This window comes from Homo sapiens, chromosome 4 (assembly GCF_000001405.40).
Source record: "Homo sapiens chromosome 4, GRCh38.p14 Primary Assembly".
NCBI classification, from domain to species: domain Eukaryota; kingdom Metazoa; phylum Chordata; class Mammalia; order Primates; family Hominidae; genus Homo; species Homo sapiens.
Window position 1 is genome coordinate 174,291,697 of NC_000004.12, and position 16,216 is coordinate 174,307,912.

The 16,216-nt window shown below is 37.8% G+C and overlaps 1 protein-coding gene across 21 annotated transcripts in view; it reads left to right on the plus strand.

Annotated features, from left to right (window-relative positions):
- The window catches only part of CEP44 (centrosomal protein 44), a 49,676-nt gene that overhangs the window by 7,991 nt on the left and 25,469 nt on the right, over positions 1-16,216 (plus strand). For 12 of the 21 annotated variants that reach the window (XM_024454229.2, XM_047416201.1, XM_047416204.1 and 9 more), the window contains exons 2-6: positions 6,270-6,366; positions 7,376-7,514; positions 10,343-10,490; positions 12,007-12,153; positions 12,551-12,673. In XM_024454229.2, coding sequence (XP_024309997.1) covers positions 7,426-7,514; positions 10,343-10,490; positions 12,007-12,153; positions 12,551-12,673 — 507 coding nt within the window. In that variant the 5' untranslated portion in view covers positions 6,270-6,366; positions 7,376-7,425. Of the gene's footprint in view, positions 1-5,089; positions 5,907-6,269; positions 6,367-7,375; positions 7,515-10,342; positions 10,491-12,006; positions 12,154-12,550; positions 12,674-16,216 lie in introns of those variants that run through there. The other 9 variants (XM_024454231.2, XM_011532287.3, XM_024454233.2 and 6 more) reach the window with 4 other exon arrangements.

Consider the following 16,216-nt stretch of genomic DNA (forward strand, 5'->3'; position numbering starts at 1 on the left):
GTTAGGGCATGTCTAAAAGTGACAAACTCCCTGAGTTTTTTAATCTGAGGAAGTTTTCATGTTTTCTTTATTCTTTTATCTTTTTCTTTTCTTTTTTTTTTTTTTTTTTTTTTTTTCCAGGTCTGGCTCTGTTGCCCAGGCTGGAGTGCAGTGACATGATCTCAGCTCATTGCAACCTCAACCTCCTGGGCTCAAGTCAGCCTCCCACCACAGCCTCCCAGGTAGCTGGGACTAGAGGCATGCACCACCATGACTGGCTAATTTTTGTATTTTTTGTAGAGACAAGATTTCACCATGTTTGCCAGGGTGGTCTTGAACTCCTGAGCTCAAGCAATCTGCCTGCCCTCAGCCTCCTCAAGTGCTGGGATTACAGGTGTGAGCCACCATGCCTGGCTATTTCCTTCATTCCTGAAGACAGTTTTTTCAGGTAATTATTTTCAGTTGGCAGGTTTCTTTTTTTACTTTCAGTATGTTGAATATGTCATTCCCTCTCTCCTGGCCTGCAAGTGTTCTGCTGAGAAATTCACCAATACCTTTATGGAGGCTCTGTTATATGAAATAAGTTACTTTTCTGTCACTGCTGTCAAAATTTTTTCTCTGTCTTTGAATTTTGACAAATTCATTATAGTGTCTATTGGTACAGACCTCTTTGGCTTCAACCTATTTGGGAACTTTTGGGCTTCGTGAGTCTGGATGTCCATTTTCCTCCCTAGATTTGGTAAGTTTTCAGCCATAATCTAAATGTGCTTTCTGCCCCCTTTCTCTCTGTCTTTTTGCCTTCTGGAACTTTTATAATGTGTTTATTAAGTTACTTAGTGGTGTACCATAAGTCCCGTAGTATTACTTCATTTCACTTTTTATTCTTTTTAATATTTCTTCCTCTAATTGTATAATTTCATATGACCGGTGTTCAGGTTTGCTGATTCTTTCTTTTGGTTGATTGAGTCTGTTGTTGAAGCCTTCTATTGAATTTTTTAGTTCAGTCATTGTATCCTTCAGCTCTAGGATTTCTGTTTGGTTCTTTTTTATGCTTCTCCTTTATTGAACTTTTTGTTCATGTATTGTTTTCCTGATTTTTATTTCATTTTCTATCTGGGTTTGTTTATTTGTTTGTTTGTTTTTGTAGCTCATTGAGCTTAAGATGATTATTTTGAATTCTTTGTCAAGCAGATCATGGATCTTCATCTTGTTATAGTCAGTTTCTGTAACCTTATTGGTTTCCTTTGGCATGTTGTATTTACTAATAATCCCTTGAGTCTTTCATTGGTGTCTGTACATTTGAAGGAGCAGTTCCCACTTCTGTACTAAACAGAGTGATTTCAGTAGATGAAGATCTTCTCTTGCTGGGTCCCTTGGTGAGACTGACTTCCAAACCACAGTCACTTAGGTGGAGCCAGGTTGTGGGTCTGCTTACATGTTCAAAATCAGGTCTGCGGTTGTGGGCCTGTTACTGGGGCTTGGGTGGGTGTGGTTCCTTCTGGGTTCCCAGACAAACAAGTCTTCCTGTGAGACCTTGGACAGGTGAGTTGAAGCCCACATGCTGATGAGGCTGCTGCTGGGTCTGGAGCCAGTTCTGTAGTCACATGCCTGCTACTGGGGCATGATTCTGCCTTCTCAAAATGGCTTCTATCAGTCTTGGACTCCAGAAGGATGTCACAGCCTTCTACTTGGACCCATCAGGGCACTTTTATACATAGATGGTTGCTAAATTGGTGTTTCTGTGAAGGACAAGGGCTGGGGAGGTCCTGTTCCACTATCCTTTTCTAGCTAAAACCTTCTTTGATTTCTTTCATAGTTTTGTAATTTGTCACATACAGATCATTTACATATTTTGTTAGACTTATAAGTGTTTTTTGTGCTATGATAATGGTGTTTTTAGTTTTATATTTCATTCTAATCATTTATTGCCAGTATATAGGAAAACATTTGACTTTTGTATATTAACCTTATATACTGTGACTTTGCTATACTCACTTTTTACTTTTAGGGGGTTTTTTTTGTTAATTCTTTAGCATTTCCTAAATAAACAATCATGTCTTTTGCAAATGAAGACCACTTTATTCCTTTCTTCCTAAGGTATTTTATTTCCTTTGCTTGCTTCATTTCACTAGCTAGGACTTCTGGAACACTGTTGAATAGGAGTGGTGAGATAGGACATCCTCGTGTTATTCCCAGTCTTTGGGGGAAGTATACAGTTTCTCAGCCTTAAGTGTGGTGTTAGCTGTTGGTTTTTTTTGTAGGCTTTATGGCCATTCTAATAAGTGTGTAGTGGTATTTTGGTTTAATTTGCAAATCTCTAATGATAAATGATTTTGAGCCTCTTCATATTATTTACAATCCATATATCCTCTTTTTTTTTTTTTTTTATTGATCATTCTTGGGTGTTTCTCACAGAGGGGGATTTGGCAGGGTCATAGGACAATAGTGGAGGGAGGGTCAGCAGATAAACAAGTGAACAAAGGTCTCTGGTTTTCCTATGCAGAGGACCCTGCGGCCTTCCGCAGTGTTTGTGTCCCTGGGTACTTGAGATTAGGGAGTGGTGATGACTCTTAACGAGCATGCTGCCTTCAAGCATCTGTTTAACAAAGCACATCTTGCACCACCATTAATCCATTTAACCCTGAGTGGACACAGCACATGTTTCAGAGAGCACAGGGTTGGGGGTAGGGTCACCGATCAACAGGATCCCAAGGCAGAAGAATTTTTCTTAGTACAGAACAAAATGAAAAGTCTCCCGTGTCTACCTCTTTCTACACAGACATGGCAACCATCCGATTTCTCAATCCTTTCCCCGCCTTTCCCCCCTTTCTATTCCACAAAACCGCCATTGTCATCATGGCCCGTTCTCAATGAGCTGTTGGGTACACCTCCCAGACGGGGTGGTGGCTGGGCAGAGGGGCTCCTCACTTCCCAGTAGGGGCGGCCGGGCAGAGGCGCCCCTCACCTCCCAGACGGGGCGGCTGGCCGGGCGGGGGGCTGACCCCCCTACCTCCCTCCCGGAAGGGGTGGCTGGCCGGGCGGGGGGCTGACCACCCCCCACCTCCCTGCTGGGCGGGGGGCTGACCCCCCCACCTCCCTCCCGGACGGTGCGGCTGGCCGGGTGGGGGGCTGACCCCCCCACCTCCCTCCCGGACGGGACGGCTGGCCGGGCGGGGGGCTGATCCCCCCACCTCCCTCCCGGACGGGGCGGCTGGCCGGGCAGATGGGCTCCTCACTTCCCGGTAGGGGCGGCCAGGCAGAGGCGCCCCTCACCTCCTGGACGGGACGGCTGGCCGGGTGGGGGGCTGACCCCCCCACCTCCCTCCCGGATGGGACGGCTGGCCAGGCGGGGGGCTGACCCCCCCACCTCCCTCCCGGACGGGGCGGCTGGCCGGGCGGGGGGCTGATCCCCCCACCTCCCTCCCGGACGGGGCGGCTGGCCTGGCGGGGGCTGACCCTCACCTCCCTCCCGGATGGGGTGGCTGCCGGGCAGAGACGCTCCTCACTTCCCAGACGGGGTGGCTGCCGGGCGGAGGGGCTCCTCACTTCTCATATGGGGCGGTTGCCAGGCGGAGGGTCTCCTCACTTCTCAGACGGAGCGGCTGGGCAGAGACGCTCCTCACCTCCCAGACGGGGTCGCGGCCGGGTAGAGGTGCTCCTCACATCCCAGACGGGGCGGCAGGGGCAGAGGCGCTCCCCACATCTTAGACGATGGGCGGCCGGGCAGAGACGCTCCTTACTTCCTAGATGGGATGGTGGCCAGGAAGAGGCGCTCCTCACTTCCTAGATGGGATGGCGGCCGGGCAGAGACGCTCCTCACTTTCCAGACTGGGTAGCCAGGCAGAGGGGCTCCTCACGTCCCAGACGATGGGCGGCCAGGCAGAGACGCTCCTCACTTCCCAGACGGGGTGGCGGCCGGGCAGAGGCTGCAATCTTGGCACTTTGGGAGGCCAAGGCAGGCGGCTGGGAGGTGGAGGTTGTAGCGAGCCGAGATCACGCCACTGCACTCCAGCCTGGGCACCATTGAGCACTGAGTGAACCAGACTCCGTCTGCAATCCCGGCACCTCGGGAGGCCGAGGCTCCATATATCCTCTTTAGTGAGATATCTGTTAACATCTTTTGCCTATTTTTTAATTGTATTGTTTGTTTCAGAATTCTAGGTATTTTTCCAATTAAGTTGAGGGACTTTCCCTCTATTCCTAGTTTGCTGAGAGTATTTATTATGGATGGGTGTTAGATTTCTTTCAAGTGCTTTTTCTACGTCCGTTGATAATACATGATTTGCCTTCTTTGACCTGCTAATGTGGCTTACATTGATTTTTAGAATGTTGTACTAAGCCCCTGCATACCTAGAGTAAATCTGCTGGGTGTGGTATTTGATACCTTGCTTTAGTATAGAATTCAAGATTATAAGTAATTCCTCTCAGGATTTTGAAGATAATGTTTCTTTATCCTTTAGCTTCTAACATTGCTATTGAAAGTTTGGTGCTATTTTGATATTCTTCCTATGTGATCTTTTCTTGCCTTGTTGGATGTTTATCAAAACTTCTCTTTTACTTTATGAAATGTCACAGTGATATATCTTGGTGTGAGTTTTGTTTCACTTCTTGTGTTTATCACTCATTGTGTTCTTTCAATCTAGAGAATCATGACATTCAGCCTTAAGAGGTGTTTTTGTATTATGTCACAATTTCCTCCCTCATTTTCTCTCGTTCATGAGATGTTGAACCTTTCAGTTTGGTCCTCTAATTTTCTTATAATTTCTATTCCACTTTTGTGTCTTTTCATCCATTGTGTAACTATAATTATCTCCTCAAACTTGTCTTATTTAAATTTTTATTTTTGCCATCATTTTCAATTCTGTTGTTGATTTCTATTTAAATCCATTGTGGTCTAAAAGCAGACATTGTATGATTTATACTTTTTAAAAATGTGTTAAGGTATGCCTTATGACGCCAAAGATAGTCTATCTTGGTGGATGTTCCATGTGAAATTGAGAAGAATATGTATTCTATTGTTGTTTGATGAAGTAGTCTATAAATATTTGTTATATCCAGTTGATAGATGATATTGTTTGTCCTTACTGATTTTTTTTTTTTTTTTTTTTTGCCTGCTGGATCTATTTCTCATAGAGGAGTGTTGAAGTCTCCAACTAAAATAGGGGATTTGTATATTTCTCGTTGTGGTTCTGTCAGTTTTTGTTTCATATATCTTGACATTGTGTTGTCAGGTGCATATACATTAAAGATTGTTATATTTTCTGGGAGAATTAAGTCCTTTATCTTTATGTAATGACCCTATGTCCCTAATAACTTTCCTTATTATAAAGTCTGCTGTCTGAGATTATTATAACTGTTCCTGCTTTCTTTTGATTAATGTTAGCATGGTATATTTTTCCCTATCCATTTACTTTTAATCTTATAAACAAAATGGATTTCTTATAGACAACATGTAGTTAGATCTTATTTTTGATCCACTTTAACAATCTCTGGCTCATTTTACATTCTCACAAGCTTAATATTTTTTATATCCTTCTATTCTTGTTTTAGGTTTTAATTTTTTTTTCTAATCTCATTGAGAATTGAAAGCTTCATTTTGAAATTTTTTCTCTATATTATCTCTATTTCCACCAAATTTTTCTTCTCTGCTTATTTTGTTTAAGGTATTTATATATACTTTTCATACTGAAGCTTCCCTCTAATAGTTATTGACCTTTGGGCATATATTCAGTTTTAAACATGAGTCTCTAAGAAAAAAAGGTGCCTGGTTAGGGCTTATCAATAAGTGAGTTTGCTGCAGGTTTATTGGGCAAGACCTGCCCTTTTCAATGGGGATTTTCCTCAAATGTCAGAAATGTGATACTTTTTTCTCTAGGTCCATCCACCTTCTCTAGCATAGAACCTGATAGTCTGCTGTCACAGAGGATGTAAGTCTAACAGCTTCTTGAGGCTGAGATATAGGAAGAAACTTTATTAGTGTGTGTGTGTGTGTGTGTGTGTGTGTGTGTGTTTTCATTAATACTTCTTTCTGCCTTCGAACACTTCCTTCTGTATTGTTCGCCTTGCCTGATGTTACCAAATTTAGTGCCTCCTTGATTCAATTTCTTTGGAGTGTAAAGCTCTTTTCTCTTTCCAGGGAAGGTGAGAGGTAGTTGCCTTGCTGAGCAAGTTATGTGTGTAGGGATAGGAGGCGGGAGGGAAAATAAATTCTAGGGTTAGCTGCTTCTTATGTAGACTCTCAAATAATCATTCTTATTTCAGCCCCCTGGACTTACCCCTTTGTCTTTCAGAAGCATCAAGTGTACCTGATTTGTGAACCTATCTTGCTTCAGTTGGTTTCCTCCTAAATATTAGGCAGATGGGATTGGCTGGTCTGTGCTCTGCTAGGTTGGTTATCCCTTATTCATTTGCTTTTCATTTTCCAAAATTTTGTTGATACTTGTTTTGTTATGTGAAATCTCCTGTAGTTCTTTTTGTCCTGGTGGGTATATATGATTTTTTTTTTTTTTTTTTTTTTTGAGACGGAGTCTCGCTCTGTCGCCCAGGCTGGAGTGCAGTGGCGGGATCTCGGCTCACTGCAAGCTCCGCCTCCCGGGTTCACGCCATTCTCCTGCCTCAGCCTCCCAAGTAGCTGGGACTACAGGCGCCTGCCACTACGCCCGGCTAATTTTTTGTATTTTTAGTAGAGACGGGGTTTCACCGTTTTAGCCGGGATGGTCTCGATCTCCTGACCTCCTGATCCGCCCGCCTCGGCCTCCCAAAGTGCTGGGATTACAGGCGTGAGCCACCGCGCCCAGCCATGATTTTTAATTATTTACTTTCATTTTAGTGATCTTTAGAAAATGGAAAGGAAGGTAACATGCATTTAATCTGTCATATTTATCCAAGTGAACCCTGCATTTTTAAAATGTATTTTTAGTTTTTAGGAAAGGTATCTTTTTGGCAACTATGTGAGATCAGAGCCCTGTGACTCTGATTAAATCTGCGCTAAATTTGTCTCCATTTTTTATTGATTGTGTTATGTAGCTTCTATAAGCATCCAAAAGAGTCACTGATGGATGTTATTCCAAGTTGATGTGTCTTCTCAAACGGTGCTTTATGCTTAAAAAAAAACTATTTGGGCAAGTGTTATATAAGATACATTATAATAAGATGAATATAAGGCAAACTTATTTTTTTGGGAGGAAAACATGTAGGAGGGTAGGGGAGACACCCTATATTCAGAAACTTATAGTAGTTACAAAGTAGAACTTGAGTAGTAGAGAAGAAGCTCGGGGAAAAAGAGCTAGGGTAAGATAAATATGGTAAGTGCCAATAGGAGATATGACCAAAATAGAATCAAGAAGCTTCAAAAATACAGAGACTTAACCAGTATTTCATGGATTTCTATTTTCAGGTGAAAAATTAGACGATTTCAAGAATTGGAGCTGAATCTGATGTTAAGTAATGGCAACAGGTGACTTAAAAAGAAGCTTACGGAACCTAGAACAGGTGCTCCGCTTGCTAAATTATCCTGAAGAGGTGGACTGTGTAGGGTAAGCTATAATATCAAACTTAATTGTATTCTTCTTGCTAGTGATTTGAGATGATATTTAACATGGGGGACTACCTGAGAAAAATCAGATTTTACCTGGTTCCTATTTAAATCTGCCTTGAAATGATTAAAATATTTGAGAAAGCAGGGAATTATAGGAGTTTATTTCTAAGTATGAACTAATGAAGAATTCCAACTTAAAAGATTTAAAACTGTTTAGAAGCACAGTATTTATCTGTATAAGTTATAATCTCTGTACAGCTTTTAAACTCATAGAGGTATAATAGATTTTATTATTTGTATAATCTACCATTCTCTCATATTCAGTTGGATGATATTTCTTACAGTTAAATATATCCAGAATAAGAAGAGATTGTTGCCATTTCTTGTCAGTCTTTTCTTATCATTTATTTGTTTATTCTTTTATAGAGGAAAGATTTTATACATTTAAGTCGAGTGTTCTTTTTCATATGGAATATTCTAGTTAGTAGATTTTTTTGTGTATGGCAACCTGAAGATTGCGCTTAAGCTCTCCCATTTAACAGACCCCACTTTGAACCTTTCACTTTAGCTCCCATTTTGCAACTATGACAACGTTTTTAGAATATGGCAACATACATTTTCCTATATTCATGCCTATATAATATGGTACTGCAGTCATTCTGTATCCCTTCATAATTCTGTTTCTTCATGACACTTACCCTTAACCTTTTATCATTGATTAATTGATGGATTGGTTAAATGTTCATTGGTTACTAGAATGTAAGCTGAAGTCTTGGACTTTGTTTTTTGTTTTCACTGTGGAATCCCCCCATCTAGAATTATGCATGGCACATATTAGGAGTTGATTAGACATTTATTGAATGAATGAGTGTCCAGGGACAAGTCCAAGTTAGATGTTCAAGAGTAGAGGGAAACTTGTAAGTAGAATCCTTCAGTAATGGGCTTTACATATAAGAATGGATATCCATATAAGAATGGATATTCTAATAACTCTTGAGGTTACAGTAGGGAGAGGTAACTCAAGAGAAGGCTGAAAGTGAAAGGATAGAGAGGAGAGTAAGGAGAAAGTTTAGCTCAAGTTGCTGTTATTATAGGCATTATATGTGAGAGGCAGAAGATATGAAACAGATGTAATCCATGTATGTAAAAATCATCTTGATTCCTCAAAACATGAAAATCCTGACCATCCAGAACTTGCAGGGGTTTAACCAGTTTGAGTAGCCAAGTCTTCTCCTTGCCACTTTAAGTGTCAACATTTTAAAAGACATTTTAAATAGGAATAATTCTAAAATATACCAGTATTATCTTGTTTTCTAAATACAGTGTTTAAACATTTAATTTTCTTATTACCCAAAAGCATCATTAAGAACAACAATTTTTAGATTATTATATAACATACTAAAATCTGCAGGGTCTATTGAGATTTGAAATGCTACTTGCTTCTTCCACAGAGGCACTCAGATTGCTAGTCTCCCTGCCACACACATTTAAGCACACACACAACACCCCCATCATTTTGATTCTTTTTTCTACTTTTTCACATTTGTTATGTTTTCTGGCCATTTGCTGTTTTTTGTGTTGGCATCTGTTTTTCTTACTGTTTCTAATATGCTAAGTCCTTAGGAACTAGATAATCAAGATTTTTGAAATTGTTTAACATAAAAAGTGTTAAATGTGTGCCTGGCTATCATCTATGTATAGTGTGCATAAAATGGACAGATTTTGCTGTTCAAAGGTATTTTTTTTTTCATTTCCTGTTTTTGGACTGTGTTTCAGATAGACAAGGTTGCCAGAGGAGTTTTCTGATTGGGTGAAATATTACAGTATTTCAAAGAAACATAAAAGAAATAATTCATATTTGTCCAGTAAAACAAAATGCAGTGCTATCATCATGTATTTGTTCTCTGTCTTACTAAAAATTTGGGTGGAGATGGGGATGTTTATGTGAACATCTTGAATTTTTTGGAAAACATTTGCTTTATATAAGTACAAAATACTGCAATTGAACAAATGTAACTGGCAAATTGAACAAATACCTCCTGTGCTTTGTTGTGGGAAAATCAGTGAAGGTACTTCACATTGAGAAAATAAGACAGGAAACACTACCAGACAGATAAAGACACAGCAGATACTGAGTAGCCTGGGAGTCTTTCTTGGAGAGATCAGTATAGATCAGAAAGTTGAGGAAAGCTTCATGGGAAGCTTGAGATTTGATGAATGATTTGTAAAAAATAAATAATAATTGGATAAGCAAAGAAGAGTGGGATACCTTTCTAGACTGGTGGAATTAACATAGGTAATAATATACGATTTAGAAGGAGCAGTAAGTGAAAAGTAATAGACTGGTCAACCAAGTCACAGTTCATGCTTTTTCCCATCCCATCTTCCTCATCTGTAACTTAGAATTCATAATATTTACCTTTGGAAGTTTGTGGTAGAGAGCAAAGGAGGTAATAGAACAAGTGTTTGCAAAACCATAAAGTGTACTTCAATTTTGTAAGATGGTACATTGCTTTTATTAGTAGTAGAAAATGGAGTAGATCACGTAAGACTAAGCTTTGGAAAATCAATGGTAAATAGTTGGTACTAGAGACCTATAGTAAGTTTTTTGAGCAGACGAACAGTGGTATTTCATAGTAGTCTGGCTAGACTGGTTTCAAATGGGGAATGGAATCTAGAAAGTCTCATGTATCACCTAATTATTATAGCTATAGTGTTAAGTTTTAAATTATTATAAACATTTCTAATATTTTCTTGATTATCCAACTTTGTGGAATTATGCTTATTAAATGCTTATTAAAAATATTTTTCTTTTTTTCCTAACAGTTTGATAAAGGGAGACCCAGCAGCATCTTTGCCCATCATCAGCTATTCTTTTACCTCATACTCACCTTATGTAACAGAACTTATAATGGAATCCAATGTAGAGCTCATAGCAAAAAATGACTTGCGCTTTATAGATGCTGTCTATAAGGTATTTTGAGTTTATCAAACAATAACTATTAGTTATTGAATGATTTTTAAAAATTAATGATTTAGTCATAACTTCTTAAATATATGCAGCATATACAATTGACAGGATATTTTCATTTGTATTTATCTCATTTAAATGTAGTCTCTATTGAAATCAAGATGCAATTCATGTTTGCTTTTTGAATGTTACCTATTCTAATAAATACAGCAACTGGTAAATATTTGTTGTTGGCTATTGTTTGCCCTTTTTAATCAAATTTTAGTAAAATTTGATATACTGGCAGAAATTAGAGAGTAATGTAATTATATTCAATAAAACTTACAGTTTTTTAGAATTATATGTTAATTTAGTTGTTTGTAAGAAGGAACTATTACTGACATTTTTTTTTTATTAAACTGATATATTCTTTGAGGTCTGAGAGCATGTCTTATATTGTATCTACCCTAGTATTTATACTTGTACTATGTGTATACTGAATTTAATCTCTTATTTGATTTTTTTAAAACCCTGCTTTTATCATTAATTTTTGCTTAAGTACTGTGGTTTGTATTAAAGTTAGTTTTTAATGGTAAAAACCCACTTATCAAATGTAGTCTATTTTTTTTTTTTTTTTGAGACAGAGTCTTGCTCTGTCACCAGGCTGGAGTGCAGTGTCACGATCTAGGCTCACTGCAGTCTCCGCCTCCTGGGTTCAAGCAGTTCCCCTGCCTCAACCTCCTGAGTAGCTGGGACTACAGGCGTGCACCGTGACCACGCCTGGCTAATTTTTTGTATTTTAGTAGAGAGGGTTTCACCATGTTGGCCAGGATGGTCTCGATCTCCTGACCTTGTGCTCTGCCCACCTTGGCCTCCCAAAGTGCTGGCATTACAGGCATGAGCCACCGCACCCAGCCTCAAATAGTCTTTTAAAAAAAGCAGAGTTGCAGTCAATGAAATGGGAGCTTTTATATGTAGTCTCTGTTTAATCTTTCTCTTTCTTGCTTTTGATCCCAGAAGACATCCATGGAAGCCTAAGAGGCACTTTTAAGAAATTCTAGAGCTCCACAGAGTAGATTTAGGAAACTACTGATCTAGTGTGTTTTTTTTCATTTTACAAATGAAAAATTGAGACCAAAAGGCCTACTGACGTATCCAAAAATCACATAGTGGAAGAGTTATAAACAAATAGAACTATAGTTTCTGACTCTGGTATGGTATTCTAGTGAACTAAGAAGTTTTTCTAATATCTCTGAAGATATTTACACTTTTTGATGATTGACTATATTTTTCCATCTCTCTGGACAGACATCTGTTCTCCAGCATATCCTTTGCTACCTGTTTTCCACCTGATACCTGTCTTACTGGATCATGACTTAACACCAGCCCTATGAATTACTTTAGTACTCTTTAGTTAATGGCTTGGTTTTCCTTGTCCTCTCAAAGGTGGCCATTATTCCCCTGACCAGGTGGGCATTATCATTTGGAATTTTAGAAATAAATTGCTCCCAATTATTACAAGAGTCTGTTTCCTCTGCAGCTTCTTCGTGATCAATTTAATTATAAACCAATTTTGACAAAAAAGCAGTTTATCCAATGTGGGTTTGCAGAATGGAAAATCCAAATTGTTTGTGATATTTTGAATTGTGTGATGAAAAAGCACAAGGAATTAAGCAGTCTTCAGAAGGTAATTTTATGAATAGATATTAATGCTGATGTATGCTATTAATAGATGGCTCAGTATTTTAATGTATAAAATCAAAACCCTAGACAGCAAATTATTTCATAGTGTAATTACTGTATTATTCAAAGATTTGAGTAACCTTATAAAGCTTGTTGTTTATTTTAAATACTACTCTCTTGTTTTATACACCTGTGACTGGGAACTCCTAGTGTTAAACTAATAGTTCAAACATAATACATTTTCATTACTTCTTAGTTTTTAAAAGTCATGTAGTCTCATTAGAGTCTCATTATTTGTCAGCTATATTTCATATATGAAAATTTAAATGTTAATGGAATTTTAATATATAATTATGCTTTCACACAAAATTTGTTATTTTGACTAATACCTTTTTTTTTAGATTCCATCACAACAAAGAAAGAAAATCAGTTCTGGTAAGTCAGAACCTCCTTTGGGCAATGAGAAAATATCTGCAGAGGCTGTTGGCGTTGATATCAGTGGCAGGTTTATGACCTCAGGAAAGGTATGCAACCACAAAGAAAATATCATATTGTTTAAGAGTTATCTAATTAATCCAATATACAGTTTTCACTTTTCTGATTGGCACCTGATGAACATTCTAGTTAGATATTGGAGTTCATTGATTTTTAACAGTGCATGCCATATATTTTTGGGCAGTATGCCTGAAGTTATAACAATAGGATAGAAATATAAAATTAAATACGTGTTCTCTTTATATTTCTAATTTCTAATTCTGCCGGATTTCCTAAACAGAAGAGTAGTGATTTAGGAAGATTATCTTATGCAGTTATCTACATTTGCTCTTAATTGTGTTCTGGTCTTCCTAAAACATGGGAACATATGAAGAGCCTACATTAGCAGTAGTGATAGGTTATAATGATTCATTTATGTACATTATATTTCTGTAACCAAGTATGAATTATCCAATAATTGGTAGTCCCTACACGTAGAATCTGGTTTTCAGTTAATATTTTGAATATTTTCTCTTTCTTGAAAGATAATTTTTCTGCCATTATCTGCTTTGAGCAGCTGTGGCAAATTGAATCTAATGCACTTAGAGCTACAGTGTTTCTATCACTAAGGGAGACTTAAGCTAAAATATTATTTATTAATATATTTTCAGCTGTCTTCCAGCTGGAGAAGACTCTGATTGAATGATAGAATATCAGATGAATTATCAATGGTGTAATTAAGTAAAGGATGTGAATACTTTCTGACTGAAGTATAATCTAGAGTATTATTTCTGCCCTAATCCAAAATACATGAGTTATGTAAACAGAATCTATTTTAAAAATTTATTCTTGGGTCTAGCACAGTAGCTCATGCCTGTAATCCCAGCACTTTGGGAGGCCAAGGCAGGTGGATCACCTAAAGTCAGGAGTTTGAGACCAGCCTGACCAGCATGGCGAAACCCCATTTCTACTAAAAATACAAAAATTAGCTAGGCGTGGTAGCTGGTGCCTGTAACCCCAGCTACTTGAGAGACTGAGGCAGGAGAATCGCTTGAACCCTGGAGGCAGAGGTTCCAGTGAGCCGAGATTGTACTACTGCAGTCCAGGCTGGCTGACAGAGCGAGACTCCATCTCAAAAAAATATGTTTATTCCTTTATACCTTAAAAAAGTGAAATTTTATTATAAGAAAATGTTCTTATGCCACTTCTTTTTAATGTACCTGTTTTGCTCTAGGTAATGAAGACAATATAAAGAATGATACAAAGCCGCCATTTTTGAATAAGTGCATGTAGTTTTTGTACACTTGCATCTCTAACTCATCTAACTCTTGTTAGTTTTATTTATGATTTTCTAACTGTTAAATGACTTATATCTTGTATTCTTCCCCAACTAGAAGGAACATATATGAACAGGGATTTTCTTATACTGATTTTTTGTACCTTCATTTTGCTTAGCACAGGATTAGGAACACTGTGAGCACTTATTAATTATTTATTGATATAATGTGCTTTTCAATGTTCTATTTCAGTATGAGAGTTGAGGGGACAGTGTAAATTGTCCTAGCCAAGAAAAATGTAAACTTCAAAACATTAGACTTATTTTTAATTTTCTTAAAGCAAAGTTTTCTTTGTTATCTATTAAAATTTATACCAGATCTTTATCAGAAATTTGAATAAGTATTAAAAGTTCTCAGATTTAGAAAAGAGTCTACAAGTACATTTCTTTGTTTACAAGCAAAAGTTGAGTCAATATTAAAGCAAATTGTCTCCTATCCCAGTGCCTTATATAGTATGCCTATTTGCGCTTCTGAGTCACATATGTTTTTATAGTGTGTATGCAAACTGTAGAATAGGAAGCAGGTAGAGGATTTCTAGGTAAATGCATACCGTGACCTAATGCTTTTTTTGTCAGGACTTCTTCGTTGTCATTATTAGGTTTGAATTGTTAGCTGAAGGTCTAATAAATTGCAGTTTGTTTAACAGAAAAATTGTAATGAGCCCTACTCATAGAGCCAGTTTTTGATTATTTATAAGTGAATTATTTGGCAATCTTTTTTAAAAATAACTTTTTATTATGGAACATTTCAAACATTTACAAACATACCCATCATCCAGTTTCAGCAATTTATCAACTCTTTGCTAATCTTGTTTTGTCTTTATTTTAAATCAAATCTCAGACATAATTTAATAAATATTTCAGCGCTTGTCCTAAAATGTAAGAATTGTTTTAAAAGTCATAACCCCAATTTTATCATCACACATAAATTATTGGTAATGTTAGTAATGGTAATATTTTGATATATATATTATATGTGATAATTTAAACTTTTTTTAATTTTTAAAGATTGGTGTTCCTTTTGCAAAATTGCTGTATGTTTAAAATAATTGTAGGAGGATCTTCTCAGCCCAAAAGCTTCTTAAGCTGATAAGCAACTTCAGCAAAGTCTTGAGATACAAAATCAATGTGCAAAAATTGCTAGCAATCTTATCTACCAACAACAGTCAAGCTGAGAACCAAATCACAAACAAACTCCCATTCAAAATTGCCACAAAAAGAATAAAATACCTAGGAATCTAGCTAACAAGGGAGGCAAAAGATCTCTACAAGCAAAACTATAAACCATTGCTCAAAGAAATCAGAGATGACACAAACAAATGGAAAAACATTCCATGCTCATGGATAGGAAGAATCAATATTGTTAAAATGACTGTACTGCCCAAAGCAATTTATAGATTCAATGCTACTCCCATTAAACTACCATTGACAGTCTTCAGAGAACTAAAGAAAACTACTTTAAAATTTATATGAAACCAAAAAAGACCCAAATAGCCAAGGCAATCCTAAGGAGAAAGAACAAAGCTGGAGGGATCATGCTACCCAACTTCAAACTATACTACAGGGCTACAGTAACCAAAACATCATGGTACTAGTACCAGAACAGACACATAGACCAATGGAAGAGAATAGAGAACCCAGAAATAAGACCACACACCTGCAACTATCAGATCTTCAACAAACCTGATGAAAACAAGCAATGGGGAAAGGATTCCCTAGTCAGTAAATGGTGCTTTGATAACTGGGTAGCCATATGCAGAAGATTGAAACTAGACCCTTTCCTTACACCATACACAAAAATCAACTCAAGATGGATTAGAGACTTAAATGTAAAACCCAAAACTATAAAAACCCTGGAAGACAACCTAGGCAGTACCATTCAGGACATAGGTGTCGGCAATGATTTCATGACGAAGACGCCAAAGGCAATTCCAACAAAAGCAAAAGTTGATAAATGGGATCTAATTGAACTAAAGAGCTTCTACACAGCAAAAGAAACTATCAGCAAAGTAAACAGACACCCTCCGGAGTGGGAGAAAATTTTTGCAAACTTGTATCTGACAAAGGCCTAATATCTAGCATCCATAAAGAACTTAAACAAATTTACAAGAAAAAAACAACCTAATTAAAAAGTGGACAAAGGATATGAACATCTACTTCTGAAGAGAAGGTATACATGCAGCCAATAATCACATGAAAAAAACTCAACATCACTGATCATTAGAAAAATGCAAATCATAACCACAATGAGATACCA